The 25,793-nt window shown below is 37.6% G+C and overlaps 1 protein-coding gene across 12 annotated transcripts in view, besides 3 other annotated features; it reads right to left on the bottom strand.

Annotated features, from left to right (window-relative positions):
* Nucleotides 1-25,793, bottom strand: part of STAMBPL1 (STAM binding protein like 1) — a 43,243-nt gene that overhangs the window by 13,815 nt on the left and 3,635 nt on the right. For 6 of the 12 annotated variants that reach the window (XM_011539985.3, XM_006717930.4, XM_011539983.2 and 3 more), the window contains 3 exons: nucleotides 7,935-8,017; nucleotides 4,013-4,230; nucleotides 896-971 (listed from right to left, as the gene is read on the bottom strand). In XM_011539985.3, coding sequence (XP_011538287.1) covers nucleotides 896-971; nucleotides 4,013-4,230; nucleotides 7,935-7,964 — 324 coding nt within the window. In that variant the 5' untranslated portion in view covers nucleotides 7,965-8,017. Of the gene's footprint in view, nucleotides 1-895; nucleotides 972-2,567; nucleotides 2,847-4,012; nucleotides 4,231-7,934; nucleotides 8,018-15,324; nucleotides 15,803-25,793 lie in introns of those variants that run through there. The other 6 variants (XM_047425551.1, XM_047425553.1, XM_047425554.1 and 3 more) reach the window with 4 other exon arrangements.
* Nucleotides 7,488-7,587: an enhancer, noted in NCBI's record as "active region_3730". NCBI's record gives its function as "activates an Ori minimal core promoter by ATAC-STARR-seq in GM12878 lymphoblastoid cells {active_cell/tissue: GM12878}" and the evidence as "EXISTENCE:reporter gene assay evidence [ECO:0000049][PMID:35858748]".
* Nucleotides 7,718-7,767: an enhancer, noted in NCBI's record as "active region_3729". NCBI's record gives its function as "activates an Ori minimal core promoter by ATAC-STARR-seq in GM12878 lymphoblastoid cells {active_cell/tissue: GM12878}" and the evidence as "EXISTENCE:reporter gene assay evidence [ECO:0000049][PMID:35858748]".
* Nucleotides 10,745-10,834: an enhancer, noted in NCBI's record as "active region_3728". NCBI's record gives its function as "activates an Ori minimal core promoter by ATAC-STARR-seq in GM12878 lymphoblastoid cells {active_cell/tissue: GM12878}" and the evidence as "EXISTENCE:reporter gene assay evidence [ECO:0000049][PMID:35858748]".

Here is a 25,793-nt window from a genome sequence, read left to right as displayed (position 1 = left end):
CCGAGATTGCGCCACTTCACTCCAGCCTAGGTGACAGAGCAAGACTCTGACTCTAAATAAATAAATAAATAAATAATGTAGATGACCATTTGACAAAATCTGCATTTTGCTTATGCATCCTCAGGTCTGAAAATACTCATAGGAAAGCCTTTATTTCATTATTTGGTAAAGTGTTTTTCAAAAATTATTTAAAATTTCATGCTACAATTGGCTTTGTGTACATGATTTTATCTTCCTTCATATAAGACCAACACAAACTATTAAAGACAAATAAATGGGAAACATTGTAAATGTTTATTTAAAAGAATATATTCACAGCTAGACATAACCAAAATTATAGATATAGCAATTATTGGTGATAAATCATTAAAAAATTGATGATAAATTGCAACACTCTTTTTCCTTTATAGTATTTTAGTCTACCACCTCCTGCTTCCCCCACAACACTTTCTAATCTATAATTCCAGTCCTATAAGATGTAAATAGCTAGAACTTTGTGGCTGCCTTAATAACTAACACTAATTTTCAAACAGTTATTGAGTTCAGGGCTGTATAAAATAATCAAAAGCAGCCAAAATGACCATCTGAAAGAAGTTCGCAGAAATACACAACATTCTCTTAACCTCTGGGAGAGATTATTGTAAAATAATTCCTTCCTCACACTATTAGGTAACGTATTTCTTTCTTTTCCCCCAGCATCAATTAGACAAACCACACTGGCTCAGTGATGATCATTAAATGTCTAAGAAAAAATCGAAACATCATAGTTAATGGAATGAATTTCTTGCGCTCAAACTCTCAAGAGAAAGAGAAAGGGGAGGAAGGGGAAGGGTGAATCAATAATGGATACTTATGGAGCATTTGATTCCACAGTGGAGAAGAAAACCCACAATACCTTCATAATATCCTGCTTTTCAGGTACTGCACATTGCTGGTAATCTCGATGGTTAGGAAGCTTTTCTACAAATAAGCTAAGGAAGAGAAAACATGTCCTTAGCATTATGTGACAGCAAAAGTTCAATAATGCTTTCTAATAAGGGAATGAGGATCCTTTTTCAAAAATGACATGTTTAATAACTTATTCATTTACCTTCAGTCTTGCCATCTGCCTTTTCACTAAAGTCTGGCATGAGTATTATTTTGGTATTAATGGTTAAGCTCAACCAACTAAGCACCAAAGCTAACAAGATTAAGGTCAGGGTACTTTCCAAACAGTTCAAGTCACTTTGATCTTTCTCAGGTACTGCATGCTTAGCCCCAAAAGAGCACCACCTTACTTTAGCATACTGCTGGCAACAGAGAGAATCACATAAAAATATCAGAGCATGGAAAGAGTGATGTAAATCCCTTCTCACTCTTGAAAAAAACTCAAACGACCACTGATGAATCAGCAGCGCCATCGTGTATCAAAAAACTCTTAACCGAAAACTCATAACTAAGAAAAGTGACAACCAGAATCCCTAGTGAATTAGGAGTTGCTAATTAGGAATTCATTATTTTTCGTCACCGTTTGAGGAACAAGAGACAGCAGCAGTGAAAGGAAATTCCTACAGCAAACCAGGTGCATCGCTTCCAGGTAAAGTGAAGAAACTGCTACCACAAAGGCAGGGAATTCTCTTTTTTATGCACTGATGTATCCTCAGCCTGAAGAATAGCATCCAGCTCATAATAAGTGCTCAATAAATATTTGCAAAATGAATGAATAACCCTTCCTTGATAAATCATAATGAGCTGTAAATGCTATTTCTGATCAAACAATATGCCTTATACTTACTGATTCTGTAAATCAAATCATACACACATATACTCATCATTTAATTTCATCTGATCACAAGGTTATAGGTTAGACAGAAATGTTAGCATAATTCCCATTTTAAATGAGAAAATTAAGGCTTAAAGAAGCTTTAAAAGTTGTTAGCTATCTAAGCCTTTATAAATAGAATAAATTCAAAGACATTTAGAGCAGAGGGGACCTCAGAGATTTTCTCCCATAAATCTTTCATTTGTAGATGAGGAACTAAGGCCCAGGAAGAATAAGTGAATTACAAATTATCATACAACTAATAATACAAGAGAATTCAAATATTTTGATTACACAGTAATTCTGAGATATAGGGGCCTTTTCCTTTTCACCAGGCTCACAATTCCATAGGAACATATGCAAGATCAGAGCAGAAGGTGAAAAAGAAATATTATTAATTGGTAACTTATTCAGAAACAAAAATTATTGGAAAAGTTTGGCTATCAATGGTGGAGAATAACTTCTAATTTCATATTTATTACTTAACTTTCTAAAAACAAGTGATTTTCCCAGGTAGGGTGAAGGTTGCCAACCATTCTCTAAATTTTCAAGTTCAGTAACTTGAATAAAATGCAGATCTCAATTTTTGCATACCATGTAAACTGCCTTTAATTTTGCCCTCGGTAGAATCATGGAAGGCAATTTTTAAAATATTGTATCTTTCAACTTCTTAAATGTTCTCAGGCTAAGCCCCTGACTAAGCTAGTGATATTATATGTGAAATAAGCCAGGCACAGAAACACAAATACTGCATGATCTCACTTACAATGTAGAAGGAATCTAAAATAGTTGAATTCACAGGGGGGCAGAGAGTAGTCTGGTAGCTATCAGAGTTCCAGCAGTTGAGGATGGGGGTGAGATGTTGGTCAAAGGATACAAAATTTCAGTTAGACAGGAGGAATAAGTTCAGGAGGTCCAGTGTATATGATGATTATACTTAATAACAATGTATTGCATAATTATGCAGCTTGGGTCTGGCACAGTAGCTCATGCCTATAATCCCAGGACTTTGGGAGGTCAAAGCAGGAGGATCACTTGCATCCAGGAGTTGGAGATCAGCCTGGGCAACATAGTAAGATCCCATCTCTACAAAAATAAAAAATTAGCTGAGCATGGTGACACATGCCTGTAGTCCCAGCTACTCGGGAGGCTGAGGTGGGAGGATCACTTGAGCCAGGGAGGTCGAGGCTGCAGTGAGCTATGATTGTGCCACTGCACTCAGCCTGTGCAACAGGGAGACCCTGTCTCAATAAAAGGTCTGTGAGGTAATAAATATGTTAATTGTCTTGACTTGGTCATTCCACAATATAAGCATATATGTATCAAAACATGTTGCATACCACAAATACATATAATTTTTATTTGTCAACTTAAATAAAATTAATAAATAATAAGCTAGCAAAAGTAATCGGCATGTGACTTTCAATTAAAAAAAAGAAGGTTCATCTTAGAAGATATAATTATTGATGACAGGACATCCTTTCAACTAGTAAGTTACCAGATTTATAGTAAGGAAAGACGAAGTCCCATTTCTGTTAACTCTTAAACTAGGATATGTCACTAACAAATATCTGTCTAATAGGAAACATGATACTCTGACATGGCTGTTTTGATGTAGCCACTTTTACTCAACATTTTGACAGCTCTTTTGTACATAGTGTTCTTAATAGCCAAATAAAATGTTTTTTAAAAAGAAATAATAAGTGCTATATGAAACTTGAATGAGTTTCCTGAACCTATCCCTGAACCTGAATCAGATCTTTCCTGTGTCTCCCAACTTGTCCCCTAGACTCAACCCACCAAATCAAATTTTTTAAATGTTGATGGCATGTTCTAGGTGCTATAAATGGAGCTGCACTGTAGTTCCTGCTCTCATAAAGCTTCCATTTCTGTCGGGGAAAATCGCATGAAAAAATAAATTATATTTAAGAAGAGTGAAACATGTATTAAATAGATTACTATGCTGGCCTTGGAAAGGAAATCTGATAACCCTGAGCCTCCTGCCCTCCCTGACCCTAAGCCTCAGAGATGGTGTTGGGATGCCTGTGAGTACATTAGTTGGTAATTTAAAAACTTGAACATTTAATGCTCCTAGAGACTGTGCAATTGGTCTGAATATGAAAACATTACTGATACCCAAACTGCCACATCAAAATAACTATGTAAATATTTTTCCAATTTTCTCACTTCAGAGGCCTTTAAAACACTTACGTTATAAATTTATTATAAAGAACAAAGGCATTTTCCAAATTTCCTTCTTCCAAATACACAGACGCCATCCTCTCCATCTCTACTCCAGACCTAAAGTAACGTCGTGGAGTGATGTCTTCACTGATGGTGATATTACAACCAAGCTTGCTTAGGGCACGGACTCGCTCTTCTGGGCTTAGGGAAACATCTGTATGGTCAGGCATAGCAGCTAACTTTTTCTGCAAAGCAAAATTTAAATCTCTGATTAACTGTTGATTATAGTAAGAAAAGGATATGACTAATATTATGGACATATGTTCTTTATGAGGAACCTAACACCATTACCTAAGGAAATCTTTTCATAAGTTAATGATATAATCAAAGTAAAGCATTTTTGCTTAAACATGCTTTATACAACAAAAATACATGGTTTATACAACAAAAAGACAAACCTCCAAGGTAAACATACAGTTTTATTGGAGTGGGATCTCACTTTAGGTTTCAGGGTATGCAAATGTTTCAGGTCATTTTAGGTAAAATATCATTGCTCCTCATATCCCTGTGCATGCTTCTATCTGGGATCATCTGAAGCAGGTCATAAGATGAATTCCTGCCATTGTAGGGTTCATGTCAGTCTACTCTGAAGGGTCTCCAAGGAGGTAACTTGGATTCAAGTTACTATAAAGATTCAATTCTATTCCAGAATAAGTGTTGTTTAGTAAGAAATTTTCAGGGCTTCTCTGCATCTTCATTGAGTTAAAAAAAAAACAACCCACAAGTAAGTCCTGGAGAAGCCTTTTCAAGCATAAGAATGCCCCTCCCATTTTTTTTAACATAAAAAGAATCTCAGACCTCCATATAATAGTAAGTACACTGTTAAATTAGTCCTTGACTAAGAAAATAATGATATGTTACTAAGAAATGTCAGTGATAGCAATTTGAATTTTATTAATAAAAACAGCATCTATACACTTTTGGTAAAGCATAGAACATATGCAATTCAGAATAATTATTCAATAAAAAGTCGGTGCTTCAGAAAGGAAATTTTCTCTGTTAAGTGCCACATAGCAAGTATCTTAGGCTCTGCTAGCCATATGGTTTCCATTGCAACTTGAATTCAGCTCTCAGCATGAAAGTCACCATAAACAATATGGATAAAAATGACCCTGGCTGTGTCCCCTAAATGTTTATTTATAAAAGCAAGTGGGTGGTTTGGCCCTTACACCATAGTTTGCTGACCCCTGCTTTAGACCAGCATGTTTCAAAGCATGGTCCATGTACTGGCAGCATCAGCATCAACTGGGAGTTTCTTACAAATGCAAATTCCTAACAGGTCTCACCTCAGACCTATAGTCAGGATCTCTGGAGTTAGGCAGGAGAATCAATGTTTTAATCCATCTTTCCAGAGGTACTTATGCCTGTACAGTTTGAGAAGCAAGGCTTTAGACCAACCCCTTCTACCATTGCTGGATGCTCCCAGAACAGAGTTAGTCTAGAGCAAATTTAGCTTCTCAAGGCCGCCTTGGTCAGTTAAGGGTAGGTTGCAAGTCTGACTACTGTGTGGGTGGAGCACTTCATTCAAGTCTGTAGAAAGCTATAAAAGAAGTCAAGGTAAGCATACTTTTAGTCTGGCCATGAATTACCGAGCCAACCTTCAGGGACAGGGTATAGTGAATTAGATATCTGGAGTTCTTCCAATGCCATCTGGTCTACTTTGGTGGTAATTTTATAGCCAATAGAACCTCAGAGATCTGAAATGATTCTTGGTCCTAAAGGTTTAATATGTAACCAGAGACCCATAAACTTGTTTCTCAAGGCTTCATTAAGTAAGAACCATACCATGTCCCTTGTACATTTTATTACGTGGCTTCCCCACATCAGAGACAGAAATTGGAGTTTCTGAACTTTGAGCCTCGGGCTTCAGTATATAGTCTTTTCAATTGAGATGTCTCAAAAGCTACAGCAATCCATCCACTTTTCCCTAACCACACTCGGCTATAGAACTCAACAGCACCAAAAGAAAATATTGTCATTTGACACAGATAATTGCTTCAATGACATCAGAAAAATGACTAGAAAAAAAATCTATGAAAATCAGAATGTTCTCTAAAGGGGGTTCCAGCCTCTCATATGTATAAAAGTAATGTATTCATATTTTACTACTACTTAGTCCACACTGAGTTATAATTATTTCTGTACAAGTGTATCTGATCCCTTATGAACTCCTTGGGGTTTTAAAAGGGATCATTTTCCATTTATCTCTGTTCCCTAGAATGTAGCATATTCCCTGCCACATAAGTGATGATTAATAGGTATATCAAATAAAAGACAGACGGAAGTGAGAGAAGGAAGCAACAAGAGATTATAATTAGTTTTTTTTCCCTGAAAATGAAAATTAGATTGATTTTTCCTCTTCTGAATGGACCTTCCCAAATTTAAAACTGATTTCAAAGATAAGCTGGAAAATAACCTAAAGTCTTCATCAATCTATAATATTTCATTTGCATGCAGACTTCTTGGATGAAAACACAAATTTTCCAGATAAAAAGCCTTTGTGTTCATTTTTACAGTGACATATACAATAAAATTTTAATTATTGTTATATAATGTTCTAGAAAAACACAGAAGACATCTCATAAGTATGACTCCTTCCTCTGGAGAGGTGGAAATGGGTCAGTCTTTATTAACCATAGTGGAACAACAACATGGGGACAGAAAGTGAAAATGTTTCTGCAATTGTCTACCTTTCCAAATATACTCTGAAGACAACTAATTTTTGTGAATGACTTTCTTGGTCAAGAAAAAACATTAGGGGCCGGGTGCGGTGGCTCACACCTGTAATCCCAGCAATCTGGGAGGCCGAGGTGGGCTGATCACGAGGTCAGGAGATGGAGACCATCTTGGCTAACACGGTGAAACCTGTCTCTACTAAAAATACAAAAAATTAGCTGGGCGTGGTGGCGGCAGCCTATACTCCCAACTACTCAGGAGGCTGAGGCAGGAGAATGGCATGAACCTGGGAGGTGGGGCTTGCAGTGAGCCGAGATTGTGCCATTGGCACTCCAGCCTGAGTGACAGAGCGAGACTCCGCCTCAAAAAAAAAAAGAAAAAACATTAGGTCACAACCTATTTCAGTACAAGAACCAGGCCCTCTCTTTCTTTATGTCCTGGTGCTAGTCTTTGTGCGTACAGGGTATTTAGTATACTGCAGCTCATGGGGCTACTCCTACAAGGTCACCATGAGTGGCTGGGGAGGGTCATCAAGAGGAGGAAAATGGGAATGACAGTTTCCATTTATCGTACCATCCTGGTAGGCTAGGACCATCAAAAATATTGTTTCCAATTGTCATTGAGCAAAAAGTACAAAATCAGGGCCATGGAGATTACATAATGTGTCTATATTCACACTCAGAGACTGATCTAGGACACAGAATAAGCCCATGTGATGTAGCTAGAGAAAGTGTGCACAGTGCTGGGCAGTGAGGGGAAAAGTGAGAAGAACAAGAGCTTCAAGTACAAAGACATTTACACGAGGATCCAAAGCAGTACCTAGGTGTTATGTATGTTTTTCTCAGTTAACGCCATACAAGGTGAGCCTCCAATTCTTATCCATAAAGTAGCTGAGGCACAAAGAGCTTTAAGTAGCTCCTCAGATATCAACTCTGAAATTCTTCTCTCCGGTGTTTTGCCAAAGGACTACACTCCTGGAATCTAGCTAGATAAACTAAAATTTTAGACTTTTGTGGAAAATAAAATTTATTTTTAAGTCTTACAAAGATAGCTTTATTAGTCACTTCCTCAAAGAAGACAACCACACAGATGGATGAAAAACTACAAGTGCTAAACTTCTTAAAGTAATTGTGACTCATTTCACATTTGTATGTTTCTGTTCTTCTTTTTGGGCTTTCCAACCAAATGTTAGATATCAGCTGGTGTGACCTACCAGAGAATTCACAGTAAAAGGCTGATCCATGTTGTCTTATCTGTGAAATGAGGATGTTCACTGTTTCTTCTCAATCACTTCATCTGTTTCAAAAACAAGAAGCAGAACTAAAGTTATTTTTTGAGACCCAAGTTTGAAATCCCAAACCCCAGGGTTATCTCTGCCTCAGACAAACAGGAACAAATTGAAATAACCTATATAACCTGAGTGTTTAGAGAGACTGTTGGAAATCTCTTCCTGAAAATACAAAACTGCAAGTGGTTATAGTTTCCTGAAGCTGATCTTTAAAAGTGAAGGTGTGAAAATAATTCACATTTGACTGACACCCAGTATGAATCTGCTGCGGGATACCTTACTTAGAACTCTATGCAAGGTTATAAAGTAGGTTTGCTTTCTTCAAAGGAATAAAGAAGATAATACTGATTAGAAGCATGGACTGTTAAACTTAGAGCCAGTCTGGATTTAAACTCAACCTTAGAACTATAACAGGCAGAATTCTAAGATAGCTCTGTGATTCCTGCCCCTTGATATCTGTAGGTTTGTGTAATCCTCTCCACTTGAGTGTGTTTAAGACCTGTAGTTGGCTTCTAACCAATAGAAGACAGCAAAGGTCATGGAATATTATTCCCATGAATATGTTGAATCACATGACAAAGATGAAGAGATATTGTAGATATAAGAATCCCCCTAATAATGTTAAGCTAATTAAAAGAAAAATTATCCTGAGTGGTCTGGATCTAATCAGGTAAGACCTTTAAAAGAAGTAGATTCTCTCCTGCTGGCCTTAAAGACTCAGCCACCACAAGTTCCAAAGCTGCAAGGAAATTAATTCTGCCAATGATCATACAAGCTTGGAAGATGACTGCAAGCCTCTGATGAGACTCTAGCCCATGTCAACAAGTCAATTGCTGCCTTGTGAGACCATGAGTAGAGGATCTAGATAAGCTGTGCCTAGACTCCTGAACCAAAAAGCAGCAAGATAATACATGTATATTTAAGCCTTTAATTTCATAAAAATTTGTAAAGCAGCAATAGAAAACAAATATGTTTAGCTGTGTGACTGCAGGGAAGTTATATAGCCTTTCTGTGCATCTACAAAATGGGAGAAACAGTGGTTCCTACATCATGTGGTTGTTCTAGGATCAAATGAGTTAGCACATAAAGTCTTTAGAGTATCAATAGCTCCTAGCATATAGTCAATATTTTATCAATGTTAGCTATTATTAGAATCTTTATTTTATAGTTGAGACAACTGAGGCTCAGAGAAGTCAAGTGAATGTACCCAAGTTTAAATATTAATTCAATAAATATTAGTAATTCCCATCCTTTTTATGCTAGTTTAGGTCAAGCTCTGTATCACCACTTTCCACTTCTAAATTTATTTTGTCCTTTATACCCCATTCATCACTTAGATGACTTTGAACATGGATCTTCTCCTCAGTTCCTCACTTAGGAAACAAGGGGTTAAGATGGATTCCTTTCAGTTATAATATTCAGTGATTCTAGAAATCTCAGAAGTAGATCAATCAACAGCTCCAGTGCTATTTTCTGGCCTAAATCCATGGTGGAGGAACCCTTCAAGAAAAATTACTCTTGTATTCCAGTCTTTCCCCTCCATTGTCTCCAGTAATCCCTGGGGTAAACATTGAGCTCTAAGCCTGCAGGCTAAAAAATGCCCAAGAAAGAAAAAACATGGTTCATCACAGTGTAGTTTAGAAGCTGAGTTAACAATTTTGGCACCACTGAATGTAGGCAATCCCAACTGAGGAATTAATACTTCTCAGTGAGAAGAAATAAACCAGGAAAAAAAGACGTTAAAAGCGTTAAAAAGACAGAGCAAAGGCTTATGGGGAATGTGAAGCCGGGGAGGGAGGGGAACAAGAAAACACTAGTAAGTCATTTATTAGGGCCTTATAAAAGAGTAGAATTGGCCAGACACAGTGATTCACGCCTGTAATCCCAGCACTTTGGGAGGCCGAGGCAGGCGGATCACCTGAGGTCAGGAGTTCAAGACCAGTCTGGGCAACGTGGTGAAACTCCGTCTCTACTGAAAATACAAAAATTAGCCAGGCGTGGTAGTGCACGCCTGTAATCCCAGCTACTAGGGAGGCTGAGGCAGGAGAATTGCTTGAATCCATGGGGCGGAGGATGCAGTGAGTTGAGATGGCACCACTACACTCTAGCCTGGGTGACAGAGCGAGACTCCAGCTCAAAAATAAAATATTTAAAAAGTAGAATTATTTCTTTTGATGATTGCTCAGATCCATAAAGAGAGAGCATAGAATTTAAAAGGTTGAAAATATTAGGATAGCGGTTTTTACATTTTACTGCATCTAAAATCACATAAACCTGAGATCTGTTTAAAATGCAGTCTCCTAAGACCCACCCTAAGGATTCTGAATCCATCGGTTTTAAGCCCACAAGTAGGTATTGTCAGATATGGCCCAGTCATTCCAATACATGAGGTTTCCAAACAATACTTTGAGAGACACTGCATTTCAGAATGAATTAAGCAGGATTCTTAATTGCAGGCAAAGGTCTGACTCTTGAATTCACAGAAGGATAATGAAAAAAAACACAAACTTCTAGGAAGGCCAGAGAAATCAGGTTTGGAAGCTACATATCCAAGAACACTGCCCCAGACTACACAGCAGCATTGGTCTGGTGAAAACACCTCTGCTATCTCTATCACTTGATGAACAGGGGATTCTACAGCTTCTACTACCAACACCAGCAACTCCAGCAACTAGCTGCTGCCCTGGGAACGATGTGCAGCCGCCATGTACTTCTGCATGTCTCTAGTTTCTATTTCAAAGCATGAGATGCAGATGTCTGACTGGCAAAGTCTGGGTCCCATGCCTGCAGCCTGGCTGAAAAGATGGCCGAAAATGTAAATATCTAGCACTTTATCCTCCTGTAGGAGGCAGTGGGATATGCCAAGAGAGGAAAGGTGGATTCAGGGCTGGGTGACCAGAAAACAATGCTAAGTGTGAGCAGAAACAATGAAACAAACATCTCTGTAATGAGCTTCTATATGTATGAAATGTTTAAACATATCTTAAACATCAGAGTTTATTAAATTACTATAGATAAAAACTATTCACTCCCACATATGAATATATTAATAATTCAGAAATAGAAGCCAACTCCCCTCAAATCTAAGATGAAAGAAGTTCACAGACTGGTCAGTCAACTTATTTTTTGAACCATGTATTAGCTGATGGTCCTGTCTTAATTCCTTTATCTTTTTGCCCCCTAGTCCTGGCACTTACAGTTGCATTATAAACAATTGCAAGATCAACATAAACAGGTATGTTTTCTAGTTCAGTGGCTCTCAAAATGTGGTCCAGGTTCCCCACGATCCTGTCAGGGAGTCTGTGAGGTCAATATTACTTTCATAATATTACTAAAGCATTATTTGACTTTTTAAATATCAATCTTTCACAGTTGTATAGTGGAGATTTCCAGAGGGTACAAGAGTTAATGGAATGCTTACTTGCATACTCTTATAAATGTCTGTTTTGATTTTTAATACAGTAAATATAAATAGATATAACTCACATAAACAAAGCTTTTTAGTGTCCTTAGTAATTAAGAGTGTAAAGGGGTTCCAAGACCAATAAAGTCTGAAAACCACGGCTCTAGATCAACAATGCAAATGAATAAACAAAACAAAAACTCACTATGCTACCTCAATCTAATCAGAAATAAAGTGGGCCAGGAGAATCTAAAACAGGAAAAATTAACAGCAAGTACCACTTGCCATTTGTGCTACTGTGGTCTTACTAAAACAATTAGAAAATTTGAACTGAGGGTACAGTAAGAGGTACTTCACCTCATAGTACTTGAGATCCACAGATGCTAACTAATGGGAAGTATTCAGTATCATGCAAGAATAAAATAAATTCCCCCTCCAAAGTGGAGGTCCAAAGTGCTACAAAGCACACGGTGCAAACAGCCTTTGGAGTGAGATAAGCCTGGGTGTTGAGTCTAGGCTCTATCATTTGCTTGCTAAATATCCTTTACTGAGCCCCCTCCAAGGTTTACTTTACTCATTCGGCAGGGCGCTTGTCACAGCCACACTTCGCTGCTTTTAGAGTGGCTTAAAACTAATGGAAAACATTCATCAGAAACGCCCGCTTTAATCTCAGCCTACTCCCTGACCTCTACCTCACATTCTTGTGGCTTGATAACATCTGATCATCTGAACTACAGCCTTGTGATCTGTTTAACCTCTAAGATATCTCTTCAGAGTTCTTGCTTCAGAGCTCTTGCCTTCTTGCTTTTATTGCTAGCCCCTTTTCCTGACCATAACCTCCAAAGACATCATCATTTTTTTTCTTTAATCTGACCTTTTATAGAGGAGTAGGGGAGTGTCTGCTTTCTGTTAATCCGACTCACAAGAATGTGGGGAATCATGGTGTCAGAACCATACATATTCACAATGAGCACATGGAGGCCAACCCCTGTCCCAGAGATTCAGCTAACAAGTAGCTCCCAGAACCAACTGAGCAGTCGACTGTGCCCAGAGGGGATGTGGCCAAAATGCTGTCTCATCCATAAGTGGCCTGGGAGGGGGTAAGTATCCTCTCCAAATTGGTATTTCACAGCTCTGAGCTTGTAACAGTTTATTCTCTACATAACCATAGCAAAATCCTCTTGGCTTTTGTGTCCCTGCAATGTTTCCAAGTCTGAAGTCCCCCATGGAAACATGGAAGAGTCTCAACAATTCTGCCCTTTAAAATCAGCAGCAAACAATGCAAGAATGAACAGAGGAAAATATCTGACCTAGCATGGTGCTTATTTTGTGATTTTTTCAGCCTTAATTTCCTTTTCTTTTCTTTCTTTCTTTTTCTTAAAATAGTGTGTGTGTGTGCGTGCGTGCATGTATGTGTGTGTTTGTGTGTGTGTGGCAAAGTTCAGAATCCTGACCCATTTTCATCCACAGAGAAATATTTTCCAGAATTCAGAAAGCAGATGATTACCAGGCAGTGAACGGTCTCCTAAGAGACTCAGCATACAGTAAACAGCCAGCGAGACCATCACCCAAATGTGCCATTTTCTCCCAGGCACTTCTTTTGACTTGAGTGCCCTAGTGACCTGGATAAGTAGGTGTGGCCCATTGGCAGTTAAGAGAGGACAGAGCACCTTATACCACCTCCAGCAGTCTCATTTCTAATTGGCCAAACCAACAGCCACTGGGTTAGTGGTCATGTTTTCCAGGAAGAACATGGTGCAATTTACTCAGTTGGAGGTAGACAAAGAAAATTATTGTAACTCAGCCTGTAGGCTGCAATGACCTAATCTGATTTAGATAAAGAGAGGTAAAGGGTCATTCCCATGTCTTAAATGACAGAGACACAAAGAAGGATCTCCTGAGTCACAGTCTTACAGATTGGGCCCTACTTCAGGAAAAATAAATAAATCTAGGCCCACCCTTCATGTCCCTTTTGAAGGATTTTAAAAATTCAGACATCAAAAGCAAAGATTACATTGATTTGTTTTTACACTTATCTTCTATAATATCTGCAATCAGAAATATGCTGTGACATAGATGATAAATTATCTTTACTAAAATATTGATAAGATAAAAACGAAATGATCATAATATTAGAAATAGCTTTTATTGGATTTTTTCCCTATATTTGTAAGTACTATATATTATCATTTACTAGGTGCCAGGTGCTTGTCTGTTACTTCTAGAGGTATATTCCACATTAAATATACCAGTCACAACAGAATGGTTTATATTAGATCAATGAGCAAGAATGTAGTTGTTACAGGAAAGATGATTAAACAAACCACTCCTGATGCATGTGTTAAATTACCTTGAGGTAGATCTAGGCTACTGTGAGTGCAAGAAAGTCACATACTGGGCCATAAAATAATTATTTTGCATAGTGTAATACAAACTTTTTATCCAGCCACCAAGATGAAGTGGTTCGGTGCCCTTAGCACGAAGAGCTCAGGTTTGGGGGCCATATACTACTTTAGGAGGGGCCAGTTTCTATCACTAGTTGGGAGTGCTACAGCAGCTTATTTAACCTTTTTGTGCACCTTATCTTCATCTATTAAATAGGCACAACAATAGCTTTCCAGAAGAATTCAACTAAAGCTTAAATGAGGTAATAAAGTTCCATTATAGTTCCCAGCTTGCAGGAAGAAACTCAAAGAAAATCAGTTCTTTCTCACAGCAAATGTTGGAGAGGTGAGGTTAATGACCTCTGCTAAAAGTTGACTTCTATTACAGATATCAGATGGTCGGTTGATGTGTAACTACTTGCTTCTTTGCAATGAGCTTTTGACAGACAGTTATCTATCCCCTAGCCACCACTACTTCTTCCTCACCAGCAGGGCCCAGTCCCACTAGAGATAGTCACTTTCTCAGTCTCCCTTGTAGTCAGGACTTGGCTGGTTGGCAAGTAACCAAATATTGGACAATGAGACCTGAGGGGAAATCTGTTGGGAGGATTCTGTGAGAAATTTTCATCTCTAATACAAAGAGACATCCTAGGGAATATATGCCTTTTCATCAGCTGAACATGTGACTTCACATAAGTTTTAAAAGGCAGCAGCCATTTTGCAACCTAGAAGGGTCAAGTCCAAGGACAGCCAGTGTCTGGAGGATGGCAGAACCCAAGGGTGGAATGAGCCTGGCTCCTTGCTCACATGGCTGAGCTGCTGATCTTACCCTAAAACCGTTCTCTTCTAAATTGTTATTATATAAGATTTAAAATGCCATTACAAAAGGCACTCTTAGGATTCTGTAATATGCTCCCTAATTAGCATAGGATTCCTCTGGAAATATAAGAAAATCTTTAGCTATATGAATCCCGTGACAAAAGAGGTGATTCTGAATAGTAAAATAGTAAATAATAATCATAAAATATTATGAGATTTAAATATTTTTGAAGGAAACAGTTCTAAGATATATTATTTACTCCTTAACTTAAAATAGAAACATTAACCCTTTCTTCATAATTCAACATTAACAATGCTTCCCTCCATTTCTAATTTGCTCCGTTTAATCTGTCATTCATTTAGAAAAAAATCACTTAAAAGGCAACTTATTTACTAAACTTCTTGAATTCGGTCTTTTTCCTCCTTTAATCTATTTTCTCTCATTGATAAAAATTATTTGAGATTATTTACAGAATGAAAGTATAGACTAGGTGTGCATCAGGAGAGATCTTCTGTGAGTGAACCACCTGCTGATTACAGTGAATGTGCTACATGATTTCTAATTTTGCTGCTCAAAATGCCTTTTATCTTGTTTTTTCTAGACTGCCTTCTAGGTAAGAGTGAGCTGAATTCTGGGCAGGCAAGGTACTATGTCGCCTTCAATAGAAAAAGATAGCCAAAAAAAAAACCTGTATAAAACAATAGGTACCATTAGCAGAATGCTTTCGTTCCCTGGCTAACTGGATGCATGAACACACATGATCTCAGTTAGCCTTCTCCAATAGGAGGTAGTTGAGCCTTGGGATTAGACATGCAGTCTCCAGGGTTAGAACATCTGAATTCAAATTCTGGCTCCAGGAACCACTAACAGCAGAACTGCAGCTTCCCAAACTGCAAAGGAGGTTGATAATGAATAGGGGTACTGAGAAGGTAAAGTGAGATAATGCTTGTAAAACATATAGCACAATGCTTGGTGCCAGGAAACACTCAAATGATTACGACCATGATTTCCATTTTACAGATAAGAAAACTAAAGCCTAGAAGAGATAAGTAATTCAAGCAAATGACAGAGCAGGGACTCTAAGTGCACAGGAGTTCAGGGCTTATACTCACAGTCACACTGCAACACTAACGACTTGCCTCTCATAATAATCAGGAAAATCCAAGAGAAGGTCACATCCTTGGGCCTTGGACAAGAATGAAAAAATTTACTGTGGAAATGAAGATTTCAGTTCAGCATTACAACTATCTGATTCATTATCTCCTCCCTGCCAAAGAAATAAAAGGACATTCATTCCCTTCACATTTTTTTGTTGGAGAGGAAATTTCACTCTTGTTGCCCAGGCTGGAGTGCAATGGTGCAATCTCAGCTCACTGCAACCTCCGCTTCCTAGGTTCAAGCGATTCTCCTCTTTCAGCTTCCTAAGTAGCTGGGATTACAGGCATGCACTACCATGCCTGGCTAATTTTGTATTTTTAGTAGAGACGGGGTTTCACTATGTTGGCCAGGCTGGTCTCGAACTCCTGACCTCAGGTGATCCGCCCGCCTCGGCCTCCCAAAGTACTGGGATTACAGGTGTGAGCCACCGTGCCCAGCTCCCTTCACTTTTTTCATCGGCAGAATGATTCAGTGTTTGTGGACTGACTACATGGTATATGTAGTTAAGAAATTCAAATCCATAATTATTCTATCTAGACACAGTTCAATTCAAAATATTTGCTGGTTTTTAATATAAATTCTACATTTTTGTGCTATATCAAAGGCATTTCATATGCTCATCAATGTGCTAATTTTAGATTCTTTTCTAAATGTGATGATTCAATTAATATGCATTATAAAACACTTGGCAAATGAATTTGAGGTGCTGGAGAGAGATTCATATTTGTACACAGATATTTTTTCACCACAAATTCATATGAACTTGCTAATTTGCTCTCCTCCTGTTAAAATACTAAACATTCCTGGAAATAATGCATTTCTAAAGATAAGCTACCCATAAGGCACTAAACTTTAATGTACCTTTTAATATACTTCCTTTTTTATTGGAATTTTGCTTTTAAGAAAATACTATCCAAAAGATACTTAGTTCAATGAAGTATAATGAGTCACAAATAAATGTTTGAAATAGCATCATTTTCCTGCCTGCCAGTTGCCTGAAAGCTCAGAAATGTAGTTAGTCCTTGGGCATTATTAATCAATTTTATTTAATTTTCATAACTTTCTTAAGGACAGTAGTTCTACAAAATGGACTGAGTCCAGCACTATTATTCAAAAGCAAAAGAGGGCCATCCTGAAGTACTTGTCATCCACTGCTTCTCCAGTGTTCTCCAACCACAAGAATCTTAACTGTTTAACATGTCACAGCAGAGGCTGTATTCATACATTTGGTTTTGCACTGGACAATCTCTTCAATGCAGTAGGCAGAAACAGAAAAAAGTTTCCTTCTTAACTTTCCCTGGCAATCCATTTTAAAGAGTTTTCTTGAAGAGCTCCTTATTCTGGCAAAGTTGTTAGCAAGTGGTCATCTGCTGTCCAAATTTGCTCACCATTCATCCCCTTCCTACCTTCCTACCCTAGAGCTGACATCCCCCTGATTTGGATGCCATGTTCCCTCTGGGAGTGGTTCCTGGATAACTTGCCTGCATTACAATGACTTGGTGGAGGAGGGGTGTGCTGGCCACACACACACACACACACACACACGCACACGCACACACACAGACACATACACAAACCCCACAGATTTCTAGGCCCCACTGAGTCAAAATTTCTGGGAAGGGTGCCCCAGGGATCTCCAGCCCAGGATGTTTTTATGCACATTAAAACTTGAGACTCACTGCATTAAACAGTTACAAACCCCCACTAAGCACCTGGCCCTGATCAGCTGAACTTTCCCTATTTAAAATCAACTCCTGCCTTGGCCTCTCTGAAGTGGAGGTGTTTCCTTTCTCCTCCCTCACCCTGCATCTCAAATATTAATATTTCATCTTTTTTTCTTGATATATCTTTATTCTATAAGACACCTTTTTTTTTCATGGCTTCAGCTTAATTTGAGCTTTAGCATTGTACCTTCAAATGTCCTCCATCCATTTCCACCAGGATACCCAACTGTTATTTTTCATTCAATACAATCCAAGGCTAAATGGATCTTTCCTGTAAAAACTGATAGCTCCAAATAAATTTATTTATTCATTCATTTATTCAATGTTACTTATAAAGCCCCTACTTTGTGCTTTTATGGACCTTACATTCTGCTAAGGACCAGGAATGGGGCAGAGAGGTGTAAAAATAATAAACAATTATCTACACAATTATCTAATAAAGATTGTGGTGACTGTGAGAAAGATGAAATACAGAAAACAATGAGAGTTATGCATTTTTTTGGCAAAAAAATACCTTATAAGTGATGGTGTATCCTCCATGATGTATCAGGAGACATATGTTATTGATTTGTTCAATTATTAATGATGTTAATCGTGATATTTGTTTAAGTTATATCGGTCAGGTTTCTCCACGATACTATTTTTCTCTTTATAATTGAAAAGTATCTTGTAGGGAAACTATGCAAATATACCATTGCCCACTAATTTTAGCATTTGAAGATTTTTTTCCCTGAGACAATTATTGTGGTGTTTGAAAGTGGCCATTTTTCTATTTCTATTTTTCCTTCTATAATTATTAGTTCAGCTGACATTCTTGCTTGAAAGCTGTTTAATTTTTACATGGAATTTTTAAAATTTAAGCTTTCAAGTGGACCTATTTTCTTTATGGTATCTAGGTTTCTCAACATTCTTTAAAAGGTCTTCAAACTTACTCATCATAAACAATTTTAAAATATGTCTACTGATCTTTTCTTCTGGTACTTCTGTGGTTAGTCATTTTTGGATAAATACATTTGACCTGTGTGGAATTTATTTTTTGTAAGGAGTGAAAGAAGAATATGGTCCTTTCTTGACCGCTAGGCAGAATGGCCTTTTTCCTTCTGCCTCAATTATAACTCGGAATTGACTCCAGTTCCATGAAATATACTTAACTTACTTAATTCCCAACTCTTCCCAACAAAGTGATCTGCCCAAACGAGGCACTTAGTACATATTTATTAAACACACATACTCTGGAAGCGATGGATAAAGTTACAGAGAATAGAGGAATTGGTAGCCCAGAGAGGAAGCAAGTATGCAACACTGGAATGAGGAAACCCTTGTCCAAACTGAAGAGCAGTGAAAGAAATGGAGAAGGACAAACAGTTATTGGGAAAGATTCTGAGGAAAAACCATAGAACTTGGAAGCTAAGTGGCTATAATGAGATACAGAAGCATAAATAAGCAAATATATTGTAAATGTTGGCATCTAAAAGAATTGGAGATGGTGATGCTTCTGACTTCACTATCAGAGGTGAAGAATTGTCTCTTTCATCTCCATGGATGGTACCAACATCCAATCACTTACACAAATATCTGGCAAACGCTGATATTAGCAATCCTGCACCTACCCCTTCCCTTAACCCCACATCCAATCTATCACCTGCATGTGCAGATTCAGATTCACCCTCCAAAACATCTCTCAAAACTGCAGGTTTTCACCGTCTTTGCGGGGAGGCTCCTTAATGTACACCCCACCCTTTTCTCTGCCTGCATTGCTAGAACTGCCTCCTAGTTGTTGTATTTGTTTCTATCTTGCTCCCCTTTGATTAATTCTACCTGGTGAAGAATCTACCTGTAGTGATCTTTTAAAAACCTGATTCAGATATTGCCATTCCTTTGCTTAAAGCCCTTGAATGATGTTCTATTGCTGTTAATATCCTATAACCTTAATAAGTCCCACAAAGCTGGGTCTGACCAGACTGCCTCCTTAGAGCCTTCTTTCACACCACCTCCTCCACTGGCTTCTTTCAGTTGCTTAGATGCACTATGCAAAGTCAATGCAAAGGCACCCCATCCTCAGTTCATACTTCCACTTTCTACCCATCTTTCTGGTGTTAGCTTAAGCATCTCTTTTTCAGGCAAGTTATTTTTGACCATCATCAGACTAGGTCACTCTCTTGATTACATACTCATGAAGAAACATCAAATAAACCCAAATCAAGGGATTTTCTAGGAAACAATCAGCCAATGCTCTTAAAAAGTGTCAAGATCATGAAAGACAGAAAGACTTAGGAACTATTGCAGATTAAAAGAGACTAAGGAGGCATAACAAATGAATTCAATGTATGATCCCAGAAAGGATCCTTGCCCAGAAGGACTTCGGTGAAATTTGAATAAGATCTGTAGATTAGACAATAGTATTGTGTCAGTGTTAATTTACTGATTTTGATGACTACTGTGGTTTTGCAAGGTGTTAATATTTGAGGAATCAGGGTAAAGGTTGTATAAAAACTTTGTGTACTGTTTCCACAATCTTTTGAAAGTCTAAAATTATTTTAAAATAAAATATTCTGTAAATGCTTGAATAGTACTTTTAAAAATCTTTTCAACAAGTAAAAGAATAAAAAAGTTTGCACCACTGACAGCTATAATATTTATTATCTGTAAACTATAGGAAACATTTGCATAACAGTAAGAAAAAGAGTAAAAATGGGCAAGTGACATGAGCAAGTAATTAAGAGAAATATAAACAGTTAAGTCACAAGAAATAAACATCTAAATTCACTAGTAATTAAGAAACTGAATTTAAGCCAGGTATTTAATGTATTTGATTGGTAAAATGTATATGATTGGTCCAACTCAATATGGATGAGGATTGAAAAAAATGTCAGTTTTTAAAATAATATGCATTCCTGTTGACTAAGCAATTCCAATTTTAAGATCTCCCCATAGATTTCCTTGACCATTTAATATATACACACACACTGCAGCATGGTTTTAAAATAAATAGCCATCAAAAGAGGAATACTTAAAATAAAGAATCTCTATAGCATATGAAACTGTTAGAAAGGACTTACATCTATTTGTACTGAACCAGGATGTCATCCAAGTTAGAGCATTAAGTGAAAACAGCTAGCTGTGGAATAACATATAAAATATAGCTCCATCCTTGTAATATGAATACAAATGTATTCATTAAGTATACTGGAATTTTTTAAGAAACAAGTCTGGAACAACATTTACTGAATTTTTCTCAGCTGTTCTCTCAAGGGTGGGATCATGAGGGACTTTCACTTTTTATTTATTCATTGCTGTACAATTTGTTATAAGTATGTATCACTTTATGTAATCAGACAAATTATACTTTTTTATAAAACCTACAAGTTTTGAATAGGTTGCCCTGAACTTGAATCCTAGCCCTGCCAATTTCTACATGTGTAAATTCTGGTAAATTACTTAACTCTCTGAGTCTATTTCTCTTGTCCAAAGTTAAGAATAATTGTGCCTTCCTTGCCTCACAATATTAAGGTACTGGTAGTTGTAGCAATTATTCAAGGACTTCCTAAATCCTGGCCTGAAGCTGAGCTAGGTGGCCTTCATGTATACACCATAACATCAATAGTAGGAAAAAGCAATTTACCAAAAAGCTATAGACCTTTAGGAACACAGAGTTGGAGAACCCTACTGCATAAACCCTTGAAAGTCAGTCCAGCCAAATTCTGGGCCCCAAGTCCTCACCCTTGTTTCTTTCTGCCTTTATGGTGACAAACCAGCCTGCTTCACCCACCTGTTCCTTGATCCTCTGTTTCTGGACAAGGTACTGTGTGTCTCTAGCTCAGGTGTACACTTGTTTGCATCCAGTTAGTCCCCGGCTCAAAAACTGCACCATAGTAACTCAGCGCCTGCCAGAAGAGGTCTAAACCCTCGCCAGCCCTTCAGTGCCCTCTGTTATCTGAGCCTTTCCCCTTCTCTGTGTCTTCCACTACTCACTAATGTCTTCTCTTACTTTCCTTTGATCAAATCCATCTCTGCCCTATCCAAATATCTGTCACTCAGAAGAATGTACATTATCTCTAAAAATTCCCACCAACCCTGTGGTTTCCTGATTCCACCCATCAAAAGATAGATCATATTAAGACTAGGAAAGGCAATATATCGTACCTTTATGAGAACTCCAAGGCAGCACTGACATATATATTATTACATGAAACTGTCTATCGAAATCAGGAGAAATAAATGTTCAAAACATAAAAGTAGAAGAAAGAATTTGAATATAAGATTAGATTTAGCTCTTAAGCGGATTCTTCTCAAAAGGGTGGTTTACTGAGCACCTGCATCAGAATCTCCTGAGAAGATTGTTAAAAGGAAGGCTGTTGGGTGCAGTGGCTCATGCCTGTGATCCCAGTACTCTGAGTGGCTGAGGTGGAAAGATCACTTGAGCCCAGAAATTCAAGATCAGCCTGGGCAACATGGTGAAACCTCGTCTCTACCAAAAAAAAAATTAAAAATAGCTAGGTGTGGCAGCACGCACCTGTAGTCCCAGCTACTTAGAAGGCTAATCGCTTGAACCCACGAGGTCAAGGCTGCAGTGAGCTATGATCACGCCATTGCATTCCAGCCTGGGTGACAGACCACGACCCTTGTTTTAAAAAGATATAAAGGAAGGCTGCCAGGCTCCACCCAAACCTTTTGAATAATCATCTCTAGGGGTGGGATGGAGGACATTTTCTTACTTTGAGCCTAGTTTGAGAATCACTGCCCTAGTTACCTAAGTTATTCAGTAATATTATACTTGACGAAAGAAAAATAACTACGTGTGCCATAAGAATATGATAGTTATATTTCTTTCAAGATCCACATTTTAATTTATTAAATTTTTCATGAATTGAAAAAAAACAAAGTTCTACACCCACCAATGATTTTGAGTGATTTTCATCTTATTTATCAATTTATTTATTTAGCTTAAGTACTTTATAGATTAAGTAAGCAGTTTCTTTGCCCAGGTTAACAGGAACATTAGCATAGGAAGGGCATATTTCAGGCCTCTCTTTCCCAATCTCATTCCATCCACCATGTCCATTTGTTCCTATAGTTAAAGAAAACTTATCTTGTGGAACAATTTATAAACCAACCTTTCAAGGACAAAACAGATTGGGGAAAAAAAGCCAGAGTCAACCCACCAGAAGACCGAAGCATGAGCCCAAAGGCAGAACAGCCTCTCTGTATTTCTAGTGTTAAATGATACAGTTGTAGTGACAGGATAAATAGAATCACAGGGTCCTCAGATGAGCCAAATTTAGCCATAATCATCATTCCTGGCTATAGTTTTCCCTACACTTTTAATTAAAGGTGCATAGCTGATTAGTGCACTAGCAGGCAAGTTTGAAATGTAACACTCTAAAGGGGAACCTGCACCTGAGCCTGTCTCTGAACACAGCCAAATGCAAAACAGGCAGGCAGTGTTCACAGGGAGCTAAAAAGGGTTAAAAATGAGTCACCACTGGCCTCCTGTTTCTAAATTAACCCAGAGAAGCATCAAATCACACAATTAAAATGAATAATTCCTGATGGGCCTCTTAACAGTTATCTCTTGCTTGAGCTTTTGCTGAATCTGGTTTAGTTACTGTGATGCCACTATACCTAAGCATTGCAGCCGTTTAAAAAAAAAAGCCAAATTCACTAAATCTCAAATTCTTTCATCTTTAATCAAATTTAAACTCATGAAATTTAAAATGTTTCTTTAAAAAGAATTGAACTTTTGCCAAATAATATAATATGTAACTTCCAAAAAAAGTAAATCAAAGGATGCAGAGTATATTTTTAAGGGTGAGATTTCAAAATTTCCCACAACAAAATTATTAGTGTTTTATACTTGCATGCTGGGTACCAAGGATACTGACTAGGGCAAGAAAAGTGGGGGCTTGCCCTCACAGCACTTCAGGGTTCCAACCATCTCCAAAGTAAATCTATCATCTTCAATGTAAAATTAGTACCCAGATGATTGCTAGTTTTCCTTGACGTTTTGGTATTTTGTAAGTAATGCTTTTTATTAAGTTCTTTATTAAGAAGTGTTCCAATTTGCGTTTTCACCTATGCTTTAAAAAATTGTTTATTTTGTTTTTGTTTTGTGTAACACTGTTGACATACACAACACATATATCTCTCCTTCTACTCAATGATTTTTTGCTGGAGGCAAATTCAACTTTATACAAGACCAAGAAAAAGTTTCACTTACTTAGAACAACACAATACTAGCTATAGATTTCTGAGAGTTATGAGAACATACATTTATAAGAATTAATGCAATAAAGTCAAAATATTGGAATCAGTGATGGCAGATTCCATCCTAAAGCTCTGAAGGAGTTAAGAATTGCTTATTCTTCACTGCCACAGGAGTCTTCCCACCTATAAATAAAATCTGTCTTCTTATAATTAGACATAATTACTTCAACAAGTCAAAGAACAACTAAAATTTGCTTTGCCATTACTCTATAAAATATTCTGAATAAGCTGAATTAAAAGGTGGTTAGAAATGTCATTATCACTCCACCACAGCTCACAATGGGAGATACCTGAGACTCTGGGAGTATGGAGGGAAGTGGATGGCACAGAAGTTTTTCAGAATACTAAAGCTTGCCCCAGAATCTGATCTATTATATGAGGGAGGCATAAGAAGCCTTGAGTATAAGGAGAGACATAAGTATTGTATATGCCAACTGTGTTAGGGTAAAGACCCAGAAAATAATCCATTTTCAAAGCATATATGAAAACACAAATTGGAGCACTTCTTAATAAAGAACTTAATAAAAACATTACTTACAAAATACGAAAACATCAAGGAGAAACAGTTATAATCTGGCTACTAATTCTACATTGGAGATGGCAGATCTACATTAGAGAGGACTGGAACACTGAAGCTCCATGAGGACAAGCCCCTACTTTTCTTGCTCTAATCAGTATCCCCAGCACCTGGCATGCAGTATAGAAGACAGGGATCCATACAAGTTAGGAAAATAGGTGTTGGAGTCATATTGCCTGGGTTTGACGGCCAGCTCTATCATTTACCAGCCTATGATGCTGAGCAATTCACATAGCTCATTTGCACATTTTTTAATCTGCAAAATGGTACTTAGGCATAAGGTTGTTTAAAGAATAGTAAAAAGAATAACAACGAACACATATAGCACTTAATTTTGTGCCAGACATTGTTCTAACCACTTTGCATTTACAGCTATTTATTTAATCCTCCCTAAAACCTTCTGAGATAGAAACTAACGTTTCAATTGAAAAGCAAGGAAACTGAGACTCACAGAAGTTAGTAACTTGTCCAAGGGTACACTACTAGTACGTGGGGAAAAAGTATCCTGTTTCCAACCACTCCATCATCATTGAGATAAACTTGTGTTAAGGCTTAGTACAGTGCCTGGCATATAGCACATCTTCAATAACTAACAGCTATTAATAAATATTTGTCAAATGTTTGCAAGATTCTGAGGTTACACCAGGGCTCCGCAGGAAAGAATGCTGTAATCCACTGGTGATGTCTCTGTGGGTGTGGAAGGTATTAGTGATCACACTTGTGCCACAGGTTTTCAATCTCTTTCACATAAAACAAAGAATCCTGATATCTGCCTAAGGTTTTCTTTTCTCCATCTCAATGGGATCTGAGATCAGGCTGTCATCATCAGACACTGGATTATTGCCTTCACTCCCTAATACTAATCCACTCTCCACCCAACTGCCAAAGTGTTCTTCTGACAACATGCTTTCCTCACTTGCTCCCTTTCAAGGAACCTACAATTGGCTACCACCTCAAATCAAAATTCCACCCCCACCTTTCAAGGGCCTTAATATGACATGGAGGAAACCCGCTTTTCACTTCTGTTCAAGTGCTTAAGAGCCTACTTGTCAAATAAATACTTGGTAGGAACGGCCACGTTTCATTATGCAGAGAATAGCTGTGTTTGTGCTACTTCAGAACAGTGATAAGCAGTTTTTTATTTTACATAATATTTTACTTTTATGTATTTATCTTTGGACATAGCCCAATTTTTTAAAATAAATTGAGAATCTCATTTGACTTTCATTCAGAATGAAACAAGCTTGATCAGAGAAGGACATGAAAGGAAGAATTTCAGGAATAAAATTTGCATTATTATTACCCACTAGAAAGTTAATATCCAGGTAAATTTCAGATAGCTTTCTAATCTGTCATCCTGAAAGTGGAACCTGAATAACTGGGAGACTTTCTAATGACAGGAGATGGAAAGTCAGAACTAAAACAAAAACAAAAAAAAAGGAGTCATAACATCC

Source organism: Homo sapiens, chromosome 10 (genome assembly GCF_000001405.40).
Source record: "Homo sapiens chromosome 10, GRCh38.p14 Primary Assembly".
In the NCBI taxonomy this organism is placed as follows: Eukaryota; Metazoa; Chordata; class Mammalia; order Primates; family Hominidae; genus Homo; species Homo sapiens.
This window is presented reverse-complemented; position numbering and strand designations above follow the sequence as displayed.